General features: G+C 46.5%; 1 long non-coding RNA gene and 1 pseudogene across 1 annotated transcript, besides 1 other annotated feature; both read left to right on the plus strand.

The window, feature by feature from the left end:
• Window positions 4,682–5,361: an enhancer, noted in NCBI's record as "OCT4-NANOG hESC enhancer chr2:170646034-170646713 (GRCh37/hg19 assembly coordinates)". NCBI's record gives its function as "activates a minimal SCP1, AML or CMV promoter by ChIP-STARR-seq in naive and primed H9 embryonic stem cells {active_cell/tissue: H9 hESC(naive and primed)}" and the evidence as "EXISTENCE:reporter gene assay evidence [ECO:0000049][PMID:30033119]".
• On the plus strand, window positions 5,164–5,518 carry CYB5AP2 (cytochrome b5 type A pseudogene 2; annotated as a pseudogene).
• On the plus strand, window positions 8,809–10,551 carry LOC124907905 (uncharacterized). The gene is made up of 2 exons (XR_007087290.1): window positions 8,809–8,990; window positions 10,182–10,551. It is a non-coding gene; the product is annotated as an uncharacterized LOC124907905 (long non-coding RNA).

The following is a 12,783-nucleotide window of genomic DNA, read 5'->3' on the forward strand; positions in this document are numbered from 1 at the left end:
GTGGGCACCACCTCTCCCAGCTAATTTTTGTATTTTTTTTTAGTAGAGACGGGGTTTCGCCATATTGGCCAGGCTGGTCTTGAACTCATGATCTGCCTGCCTCGGCCTCCCAAAGTGCTGGGATTACAGGTGTGAGCCACCACACCCGGCCAATCTCATTATTTTCTTTTTTTTTTTTTTTTTTTTTTTAAATTTATTTTTTTATTGATAATTCTTGGGTGTTTCTCACAGAGGGGGATTTGGCAGGGTCATGGGACAATAGTGGAGGGAAGGTCAGCAGATAAACAAGTGAACAAAGGTCTCTGGTTTTCCTAGGCAGAGGACCCTGCGGCCTTCCGCAGTGTTTGTGTCCCTGATTACTTGAGATTAGGGATTGGTGATGACTCTTAACGAGCATGCTGCCTTCAAGCATCTGTTTAACAAAGCACATCTTGCACCGCCCTTAATCCATTTAACCCTGAGTGGACACAGCACATGTTTCAGAGAGCACAGGGTTGGGGGTAAGGTCACAGATCAACAGGATCCCAAGGCAGAGGAATTTTTCTTAGTGCAGAACAAAATGAAAAGTCTCCCATGTCTACTTCTTTCTACACAGACACGGCAACCATCCGATTTCTCAATCTTTTCCCCACCTTTCCCGCCTTTCTATTCCACAAAGCCGCCATTGTCATCCTGGCCCGTTCTCAATGAGCTGTTGGGCACACCTCCCAGACGGGGTGGTGGCCGGGCAGAGGGGCTCCTCACTTCCCAGTAGGGGCGGCCGGGCAGAGGTGCCCCTCACCTCCCGGACGGGGCGGCTGGCCGGGCAGGGGGGCTGACCCCCCCCACCTCCCTCCCGGACGGGGGCGGCTGGCCGGGCAGGGGGGCTGACCCCCCCACCTCCCTCGCGGATGGGGCGGCTGGCCGGGCAGAGGGGCTCCTCACTTCCCAGTAGGGGCGGCCGGGCAGAGGCGCCCCTCACCTCCCGGACGGGGCGGCTGGCCGGGGCAGGGGGGCTGACCCCCCCCACCTCCCTCCCGGACGGGGCGGCTGGCCGGGCGGGGGGCTGACCCCCCGACCTCCCTCGCGGACGGGGCGGCTGGCCGGGCAGAGGGGCTCCTCACTTCCCAGTAGGGGCGGCCGGGCAAAAGCGCCCCTCACCTCCCGGACGGGGCGGCTGGCCGGGCAGGGGGGCTGACCCCCCCCACCTCCCTCCCGGACGGGGCGGCTGGCCGGGCGGGGGGCCGACACCCCCACCTCCCTCCCGGACGGGGCGGCTGGCCGGGCGGGGGGCCGACCCCCCCACCTCCCTCCCGGACGGGGCGGCTGGCCGGGCAGAGGGGCTCCTCACTTCCCAGTAGGGGCGGCCGGGCAGAGGCGCCCCTCACCTCCCAGACGGGGCGGCTGGCCGGGCGGAGGGCTGACCCCCCCACCTCCCTCCCGGACGGGGCGGCTGGCCGGGCAGAGGGGCTCCTCACTTCCCAGTAGGGGCGGCCGGGCAGAGGCGCCCCATCACCTCCCGGACCGGGCGGCTGGCCGGGCGGGGGGCATGACCCCCCCACCTCCCTCCCGGATGGCACGGCTGGCCGGGCGGGGGGCTGACCCCCCACCTCCCTCCCGGATGGGGCGGCTGGCCGGGCGGGGGGGCTGACCCCCCCCACCTCCCTCCCGGACGGGGTGGCTGCCGGGCGGAGACGCTCCTCACTTCCCAGATGGGGTGGCTGCTGGGCGGAGAGGCTCCTCACTTCTCAGACGGGGCAGCTGCCGGGCGAAGGGGCTCCTCACTTCTCAGACGGGGTGGTTGCCAGGCAGAGGGTCTCCTCACTTCTCAGACGGGGCGGCCGGGCAGAGACGCTCCTCACCTCCCAGACGGGGTCTCGGCCGGGCAGAGGCGCTCCTCACATCCCAGATGGGGCGGTGGGGCAGAGGCGCTCCCCACATCTCAGACGATGGGCGGCCGGGCAGAGACGCTCCTCACTTCCTAGATGTGATGGCGGCTGGGAAGAGGCGCTCCTCACTTCCTAGATGGGATGGCGGCCGGGCGGAGACGCTGCTCACTTCCCAGACTGGGCGGCTGGGCAGAGGGGCTCCTCACATCCCAGACGATGGGCGGCCAGGCAGAGACACTCCTCACTTCCCAGACGGGGTGGCGGCCGGGCAGAGGCTGCAATCTCGGCACTTTGGGAGGCCAAGGCAGGTGGCTGGGAGGTGGAGGTTGTAGTGAGCCGAGATCACGCCACTGCACTCCAGCCTGGGCACCATTGAGCACTGAGTGAACGAGACTCCGTCTGCAATCCCGGCACCTCGGGAGGCCGAGGTTGGCGGATCACTCGCGGTTAGGGGCTGGAGACCGGCCCGGCCAACACAGCGAAACCCCGTCTCCACCAAAACCAGTCAGGCGTGGCGGCGCGTGCCTGCAATCGCAGGCACTCGGCAGGCTGAGGCAGGAGAATCAGGCAGGGAGGTTGCAGTGAGCCGAGATGGCAGCAGTACAGTCCAGCTTCGGCTCCGCATGAGAGGGAGACCGTGGGGAGAGGGAGAGGGAGGGGGAGGGGGAGGGGGAGGGGGAGGGGGAGGGGAGGGGGAGAGGGAGAGGGAGAGGGAGAGGGAGAGGGAGAGGTCATTATTTTCAAATAATAAAAAATTTTAATTTTTTCCAATATATTCTTATGAATTGCTCCACTTTGTTATTTGGATTATACACTATCCAAGAAGCTTATTCATTTCTTTTTTGAAATTTATTTATTCTTAATGAATCACTGATATTGGTATGATTTGAAAACTTCTCTCTTATAATTTGCTTCTTGAATACAGAATAATCACTGATTTTGTCATTCATGTTTATGACTTTAGCTTCATATTCTATTAATTTTATCTGTTTTTTTCAGTTCTTAAACTAGGAACTGTAATTTCTTCACATCTTATTAAAATGTTTAAAAATGCCTGCTCAAATTACATTTATAGTGGTTTATTCTCAATTCAACTTCTTTTTAGACAGAAACTCAAAATACTTGTGTCACTTCAGCACCATTGAACACTGGGGAAGTGGAATGGAGGGAGATTTGAAATGGAAGAACAACAGTTGTTTGATGATTTTGGTTAAAATATCTTTTACAAATTTAACAAAACCATATGACCTTATGAACACATTATTAGGATCCCTCCCAGGTCCTTGGAAAGGGCCAATATAATGGAGGGGTCCTGAAGCTTAAACTTTGTTGGCTTCACTGCAAACCCTTCTCTGATCTTGAGTACGTAACACACATCCACTCTTCCTCTTTTTGGACTAAGTGTTTTCCTGTGTTTTGTGTGCTAGATCTTCTTTTTCTCCTCCAGATACATTCTCCACCAGCTCCTTCTCTACCAGGAGGCTGATCTACGCAGAGGAGAGCACTAACAACAGAGTGGGGGAGGGGGGCATTCACTCCAGCCTTCATTCCCCTGGCTCCATTCCTGCAGGGTTGGCATGGCTTGGATGCATCCTCAGGGACCTCTCCGTACAGTCGTCTTTCTCACCAGTGACTAGCTCCTCCTTTCGCTCCGCCACCCTCCCCTTGGGATGGTAATGGAGCCCTCAATATTACTAACTTTGGGGTACCACAGTATCCCTCAGAATTTACTTATGCCCTTCCCACACCTTTGTAAAAAGTAGTTTATTACATTTTCCTGCTGCCAGACGATCATGGTAGCACATACCTGTAATCCCAGCTAGTCAGGAGGCTGAGGAGGGAGGATCCATAGAGCCCAAGAGTTTGAGACCCCATCTCAAAAAAAAAAAAAATCTTGCTGAGACTCTGATACAGTTTGTAACATCAACCTTGTGTAGGCAGTAACTTCACTGTACATTTAACTTCCTCTAAAATCATTTTTAATTACTGTCTTTATTTTCAAGGGATCAGCATAGTCTTACCCCTAAGGTGGATATGATCAAAGGAGAATTATCTTCTATCTGCTTAGTACCTGGATTTTTTATGTGGCTATTTTCATTTCTTTAAAAAAATCTCATTCTAGGCAGGGCACAGTAGCTCACACCTGTAATCCCAGCACTTTGGAAGACCAAGGTGGGAGGATTGCTTGAGGCCAGGAGTTCATGACCAGCCTGAGCAATACAGTGAGACTCTGTCTCTACAAAAGAATTTAAAAATTATCTGGGTATGTGTGGTAGCATGAGCCTTGTAGTCCCAGCTACTCTGGAGGCTAACTAAGATGGGAGGATCACCTGAGCCCAGGAGTTCAAGGCTGCAGGAAGCCATGATCATACCACTGCACTCCAACCTGGGCAACAGAGCTAGACCTTGTTTCAAAAAAAAAAAAAAAGCTATTTTTTAAAATTTGGATAACCATTCTAGAATTAGAATTAGACGTGGTAACAATCTTTTCAACAAATTTTGCTGGAGCAATTATTGTTCATCCATATAGAAAAAGAAGGAACTTTGCCATCTGCCTTATATTATGCCCCAAAATTAATTTAACATGAATCATACAACTAAATGTGAAAATAAAACAATACAGATTCTAAAAGAAATTAGGGGAGAATATCTCTGAACATTTGGAGTAGGCAATGATTTTTTAAATGCAACATAAAAAGCACTAATTATCCAAAGATACCAATAGGAGAGTGAAAAAGAAAGCCGTAGACTGGGGGGAAGAAATCCACAATTCCTACATCTGATGTAACCTTCATATCCAGATTCATATAAAGAATCCTAATTGATAAAATTGGAAGAATTGATAAAATTGGTAATCCTAATTGATAAAATTGGAAGCATCCTAATTTATAAAAATCCTAATTGATAAAATTGGTAAAAATTAATTAAAAACACACACTTTTTTTTTTTAAGAGACACATCTGGCTAATTTTTAAATTATTTTTTGTAGATTCAAGGTCTGGGTCTCACTATGTTGCCCGGGCTGGTCTCAAACTCCTGGCCTCCCAAAGTGCTGGGATTACAGTCGTGAGCCACCGCTTCTGGCCAACTCTCACAATCTTTAAATGGGCAAGGCCCTGAACAAAGGAGGACATCAAATGGCAAATGTGCATCTGAAAAGGTGCTTAACATTGTAAATCAAGGAAATGCAAATTAAAGGCGCAATGAGATACCACCACACCACCATGTGGCCAAAATTTAAGAGAATGACAGACCGGCTGCCCCGCCTCTGGCAGGGGTCCCTGGTGCGGGCGGGGAATGTCCCCGACGGAGCTTGATGAGAGGCGCACGCTGCTGGCAGGGCACCGCTGTGTGAGCTGGGACTGGCTCGCAGCCCTCCGAGATGGCCCAGCAGTCGGACAAGGCCGTGAAGTGCTGCGCCCTGGAGGAGATTCAAAGCACAATCATAGCAAAAGCACCTGGGTGTACGATTTGACCAAATTCCTGGCAGAGCATCCTGGTGGGAAAGAAGTCTTAAGGGAATAAGCTGGAGAGATGCTACTGAAAACTTTGAGGATGTCGGGCACTCTACAGATGCCAGAGAATTCTCCAAATCATAAATCATTGGGGTTTCATCTGGATGACAGATAAAGTTAACTAAGCCTTCAGAATTTTTTTTTTTTTTTTGAGACGGAGTCTCACTCTGTTGCCCAGGCGGGAGTGCAATGGCACGATCTCAGCTCACCGCGACCTCCGCCTCCCAGGTTCAAGCGATTCCCCTGCCTCAGCCTCTCGAGTAGCTGGGATTACAGGTGCGCACCACCATGCCTGGCTAATTTTTGTATTTTTTAGTAGAGACTGGGTTTCACCATGTTGGTCAGGCTGGTCTCGAACTCCTGACCTCGTGATCCGCCCACCTTGGCCTCCCAAAGTGCTAGGATTACAAGCGTGAGCTACTGCGCCCAGCCTTTTTTTTTTTTTTTTTTTCCTTCAAGAGATGGTTTAGCTCTATGTTGTCCAGGCTGGTTTCCAACTCCTGAGCTCAAGGGATCCCCCTGAGTGGTTGGGACTACTGGCATGCACCACTGGAAACCCTTATTACTACTGTTGACTTTAATTCCAGTTAGTGGACTAGTTGAGTGATCCCAGCCATCTCAGCACTGGCCAAAGCCTTCCTGTGTTACCTCTACATGTAGGCAGGAGACTAAATAGCTTTTCAGAAGCCAATGAAAGAAAAGACTGCTTCGGATTAGGGAGAAAGAAGCCAGTGTTAATTAACTATTTCAACTGTCAGCAGCCTTCATCTGAAAGAATAATTTTTAATGTGTCTCTCTTTCCTCCTACACTAGAAACAGGAGTAATTGTTCGATTCTTTCTAAAACTTTTCTTTCTTTTCTTTTCTTTTTTTTTTTTTTTAGACGGAGTCTCGCTCTCGCCCAGGCTGGAGTGCAGTGGCGCGATCTCGGGTCACTGCAAGCTCCGCCTCCCAGGTTCACGCCATTCTCCTGCCTCAGCCTCCCGAGTAGCTGGGACTACAGGCGCCCACTACCATGCCTGGCTAGTTTTTTTGTATTTTTAGTAGAGACTGGGTTTCACCGTGTTAGCCAGGATGATCTGAATCTCCTGACCTCGTGATCCGCCCGCCTCGGCCTCCCAAAGTGCTGGGATTACAGGCGTGAGCCACCGCGCCCGGCCTTTCTAAAACTTTTCAAGTGTGCATTTTTATTCACCAACTTTATTTTGTGTCTTCACTACGTAGTTTACTTATTGTAAGCATGTACTTATTGTAAGCATGTACTTATTTTGTCTCTTCGCTACGTAGTTTACTTATTGTAAGCATGAGCTTTTAATATTAATATTATATGTGGCTTAGAGTGGAATAATGGACACTGGAGATTACAAAAGGTGGGAGGGTGAGAGCAGGGGTGAGGACTGAAAAATTACCTATTGGGTACAATGTTCACTATTTAGGTGATGGATGCACTAAAAGCCCAGGCTTCACCGCTACGTAATATGTACATGTTGCACTGGTACTCCCTAAATATATAAAAATAAAAATTAAAATAAAAAAATAATATCTGGCTTTAAAACATGACAGTGCATTGTCCAGAATGTTTAGCAACTACATTGCTGGTGTGAGTGAAAAATGATATGACCACTTTGGAAAGCTGTTTAGCAATATATATTAGAGCTAAACACACGCCTGCCCTGTGACCCATAATTTCATTCTTAGGCATACACCTAACAGAAATGAGTGCAGAAGACATGGAGAAGAACGTTCAGAATAGCTTTATTCATAACAGCAAAAAACTAGAAACAACAAAATGGTCAGAAACAGAAGAATGGGCCAGACGTCGTGGCTCACTCCTGTAATCCCAGCACTTTGGGAGGCCAAGGTGGATGGATCCCTTGAGGTCAGAAGTTTGAAACAAGCCTGGCCAACATGGCAAAACCCTGTCTCTACTTAAAACAGTACAAAAATTAGCCATGCATGGTGGCAGGCACCTATAATCCCAGCTACTTGGGATATTGAGGCACGAGAATCACTTGAACCCAGGGGGGTAGAGGTTGCGGTGAGCCGAGATTGCGCCACTGCACTCTAGCCTGTGCAACAGAGTGAGCCTCTGTCTCAAAAAAAGGAAAAGAAATGGAAGAATGGATAAATCAGTTGTGGTATGTGCGTATACCACATGTTGTGGACTGTTTGTAGTTCCCCAAAATTCATACATTGACATCCTAACCTCCAGTGGGATGGTATTAGGAAGTGGGGCCTTTGGGAGGTAATAAGATCATGATGGTAGAATTCTACCTCATGAATGGGATTTAGTGCCTTGTAAGAAGAGACTGGAGAGTTTACTTCCTTTCTGCTTTTCACCATGTAAGGATACATGAAGAAGATGGCCATCTGCAAACCAGGAAGCAGGTCATCATGAGACACCAGATCTAACAGCATCTTGATCTTGGACTTCTCAGCCTTCAAAACTGCGAGCAATAAATTTCTGTTGTTTAAGACACCCAGTCTATGATATTTTGTTATAGCTGTCCAAACTGAGACCCAGATATATACATACTACATGACCTAGAACAGGCAAAGCTAATCAATGGTAGTTACTTTTAAGGAGGGTATTGACTGAGAGAGGAGCCCAAAGGAACTTTCTGGAGTGCTGAAATGTTCTATATCTCAATCTGGATGGTAATTACAAGGTGGTGTTCACTTGTGAAACTTCATTGAGCACTTAAAATTCATGCACCTTATAGTTTGTGTGATATAATTCAATTAAAAAAATGTTTAGCCCCCAAAGGCCCTTCTTTTCTCTTTATCTGTCACAGTTATTTTATTTTACATGAAGTCTTGGTAAAGAATCTGTGCTGTTTTATCAACTTCCATGTACTGTCTTCTATAGAAGATCTACTTATCATTTTATGCATGCTGATCTCGTCCACTTGCCAAATATAGCAAATTGACCCAAGTAAATTTGGCTGTTCACAATTATTAGATAATTTAGAGGATAGTGGAGGTCACCAATTGTTAGACATAGGGGTGGGCTCTAGGTCTCCCCTTAATAACCTCACTTTCATATGACTTATTACAATGAAGGAAGTTTTTGTAGACAAGATTCACCTTCAAACATCTATTAGCAAGAAAACACAAAAGTAGTCCTACAATCTATTCCCAAAATTCAGGGAGACCCTAGATTTCTGGCTTTTAGGCAATCTGATATTCATCTTGCGCGCGCGCGTGCGCGCGCACACACACACACACACACACACACAGAAATAGAAAAACTTAGCAAGCCTAGCAGCCTTCAGAGTGGTACTCTTGGCCTGGAGTTTTGATTTAGTTGAGTTTTCTGCCCCTTAGTGATGAATTCTCTCAATTGCCCTAACCAAAAGTCTAAAATATTATAATCATCTGCCTTGAATAATTTTTCATGGATTTTTTTCCCCCTCGCATTTAAAGTCCAGGTTAGAATGATAAGTCCATTCTACGAAGCCATCAGAGTTGGTATGGAACTACAGGATGTTGGGACTTGGCTTCCTTCTATCTTGCTGCTTTGCCACACCTATGGTGTTTCCTTCATTTGCTTGGTCCAGTTTTGCTCATCATCCACATCTAGCTAGTTGAAGAAAAGAGAAAGTGAGGTAAGAGAATAAATTCATTGCATTTAAGAATTACCTGGAAGTTGCACACATCACTTCCACTCATGTCTCATAGGCCAGACATTGTCTTACTAAGCTTCAAGGAAGGCTGGAAAAATGTAGTTTTTATTTCTGATTGGCCATACATTTTGTTGAAAGCCACAGGTGATTTTATTATTATATAGGAAGGAGAGAGCCAAGAGATAAGTGACAGTATCTGCCACAATGACAAAATTGGTTTAGGTCAGCTTGCAAATCTTCTGTCTTAGTCTGTTTTGTGTTGCTATAAATGAATACCCGAGGCTGGATAATTTTTTTTAAAAGAGGTTTATTTGGCTCACAATTTCGCAGGCTGTACAAGAAGCATGACACCCACCAGCATCTTCTTGGCTCCCAGTAAGGGCTTTTCTGCTGAGTCAAACATGGTGGAAAAGGTCAAAGAGAAGCAGGCATGTGTGAAGAAAGACCAAATCTGAGGGGCACCCTGGTATAACAACCCATTGTTTCATAACAACCCATTCTCATGGGAACTAACCCATTCCTCTGAGAGCCAATCAGAAGGGAAAGTTACTGGCTACTACAAGAACAGCACCAAGCCACTCATAAGGGATCCATCCTCATGACCCATACACAATCCATAGCATCTTCTCAGCAATATGTACTCAGTTGGTCCCTCCTTCCTTGAAACATTCCACTCTTTAGCTTCTATGGTGCCATATTTTCATAGCACCTCTCAGGGTCTGCTTATTCTAGCTGCTGTACAGGCTTCTCTTCTTTTATTCATTATCCAAAAAATTCGAATGCTAGAGGGGTCAGTCTGGGATCCTCCCATCTTTGTTGTCTATACTCTTTTTAGGAGAGCTCATATAATGACATGACTTAAAATGTCTGCTATATACTAATAGTTCCAAAATTTATATCTTTAACCCTGACTTCTTCAAACTCATACCAACTGCCTACTTGACATCTTTACCTTGATGTCTAATAAGCATTTCAACCTGAAACTGAGGGCTAACCTGATTTGGCCCACCAAACTTAACTTGTCTCATTTGTTTTTAGTTAATTTTAAAAGCTACATATTTAATAGCTAAAAGTCATGTAGCTAAGCAATATATACATAAAATTCCATTAGCTTCCTTACAGATTACATATCTGAGATATAGGTCACCATGGTAATGGTTGCTTGTTTTTCAGGAACTTAGAGTTAGCTCTTGTCCAGCTTAAGCCAGCTGAGACCAACAACTCTTCAACTGGGCCTGCATGAGTGTCCAATGGGTGACCTTTTGGCATCACAGGACCAAGAGCTCCACCCTCAGATCATGCTAAAGCTGCAATTTTGTGGACATGTGTCCTATGAAGAGCTATGAAGCTTGACTATGCTTGTGCACAGCACCAGTTGCCTCACTGTTTCTTACCCCAATTACCTTTCCCCATGCCTCAGACCACCTTGCTCCTTTATCCCGTAAATACCCTAAAACCCCATCTTTGGGAGCTGGATTTGAGATCTGTTCTCCTGTCTCCTCACTTGGCTGCTTCATGAATAAACCCTTTCTCTGCAGCAAAATTTGATGTCTCAGTGATTGGGCATATTGTGCAACAGGCAGAACAAGCCCAATTCAGTAACAAAACCAAATCTTCAAAATAGAGCAATGCTATTACCCTAGACTAAATGTTCTTAATATGAGGCTGGGAGCAGTAACCAGCCTCATAATTAAGAAGCTGTTTCGAAATGTAGGTGGGATTTTTCATTGTCACAGTGACTGGGGGTTGCTACTTATATTTCTTCTGAAATCTCTTTTTAAACTCAGCATTATGTTTGTGAAATTTATCAATGTCAATTCATGTAGATCTAGTTTATTTTTCTCACTGTATAGAATTTCATTATTTAATTATATCACAATTTAATTTAGTTACCCATTCTTTTGTGGTGAACATTTAGTTGATTTCCAGTTCCCTAAATTTACAAACCATATTGCTATGAATATTCTTTTTTTTTTTTTTTTTTTTTTAGCGACGGAGTCTTGCTCTGTCATCCAGGCTGGAGTGCAGTGGCATGATCTTGGCTCACTGCAATCTCCGCCTCCCAGGTTCAAGCAAGTCTCCTGCCTCAGCCTCCCAAGTAGCTGGGATTACAGGCACGTGCCACCATGCCTGGCTAATTTTCGTATTTTTAGTAGAGACGGGGTTTCACCATGTTGGCCAGGCTGGTCTCAAACTCTTGACCTTGTGATCTACTCTCCTCAGCCTCCCAAAGTGCTGGGATTACAGGCATGAGCCACTGCACCCCGCCCGAATATGCTTGAACATGTTTTCTTGTGTACAGATGTGAACATTGCTCTAGAGTATAATCTTTTTTTTTTTAATGAGACAGAGTCTTACTCTTGTCGCCCAGGCTGGAGTGCAATGGCGCGATCTTGACTCTCTGCAACCTCCACCTCCCAGGTTCAAGCAATTCTCCTGCTTCAGCCTCCCTAGTAGCTGGGATTACAGGCATGCACCACCATGCCTGGCTAATTTTTGTATTTTTAGTAGAAACAGGGTTTCACCATGTTGGCCAGGCTGGGAGTATATTCTTTAGAGTGGACTTTCTGCACCATCAGCTATGCACATCTTAAACTTTAATAGATATTATCAATTTGTTCTCAAAGTAATTGTACTAAGTGTATACCCAGAAAGATGGTCTTTTAGTGTACTGACTTACAAAGTTATGCTATGAGAGATGGATACCAGTATGAGAGAGAGTCCTCTCCTAGGTACTGTAAATGAAACATGAAGCTTCCTGGTCTGCCGCCAGGAATTCATTTTCCTCAGAGGGTGTGTCTGCATGGAACTCTGCTTCTGGAAGGGAACGAGGGAGAAAAAGAAAAGATAAGAAAAGGGTTGGACATGGTGGCTCATGCCTGTAATCCCAGCACTTTAGGAGGCTGAGGCGGGTGGATCACCTGAGGCCAGGAGTTCGAGACCAACCTGGCCAACATGGCGAAGCGCTGACTCTACTAAAAATAAAAAAATTAGCCAGGCATGGTGGCGGGCGCCTGTAATCCCAGCTACTCAGGAGGCTGAGGCAGGAGAATCACTTGAACCTGGGAGGCAGAGGTTGCAGTGAGCCGAGGTGGTGCCACTGCGCTCCAGCCTGGGCGACAGAGGGAGACTGTCTAAAAAAAAAGAAGAAGAAAGAAAAAGATAAAAAAGAAAAGACAAGAAAGGGAGAGCAAAGGACCAGGGACCTGATGAGAACATGAAATAAATGTTTTTTTTGCCGGTGTGACTTCTGATAATAGGCTGTACTGCAGTTCTGCCCAGATGTTGTGGGACATGAAGAAGCAGTTATATTTGTTTAGGTGGCTCTGTCTCTAGGCAGATTCTGACTCTTCTTTCTATTCCCAGTGTTAAGCCTCCATACCAGGACATTAACAGGCATGTAATAAACAGTTAGCTGAATGGATGAATGAGAGTACCCTGACACTGATATTATTTGTTCTGTTAAATACATATATTCTCACTGACTTGATCAAAACAAGAATTAAGGTTTCAATTGTGTCTGGCATAAAATAGAGAGTAGATAAATATTCTTTGAGTGGATAAAAGATAATCTAATTAATTTGAATTTAAACTACCTGAGCACAACCCTGTTAAATATGTTTTTTCTCATTGGCCTTAAGAAAAGAAAAAAGAGCCCAGAGCAGTTTGAACTATGTGAGGTATGCGGAATTTATCAGGCACAGAGAGATATGAGTTTGGGACTTCAGTCATGTCCCTACACCCCTGTATTAGTTAGTTCTCATACTGCAATAAA

The sequence above is a fragment of the Homo sapiens genome, chromosome 2 (genome assembly GCF_000001405.40).
Source record: "Homo sapiens chromosome 2, GRCh38.p14 Primary Assembly".
NCBI lineage: Eukaryota > Metazoa > Chordata > Mammalia > Primates > Hominidae > Homo > Homo sapiens.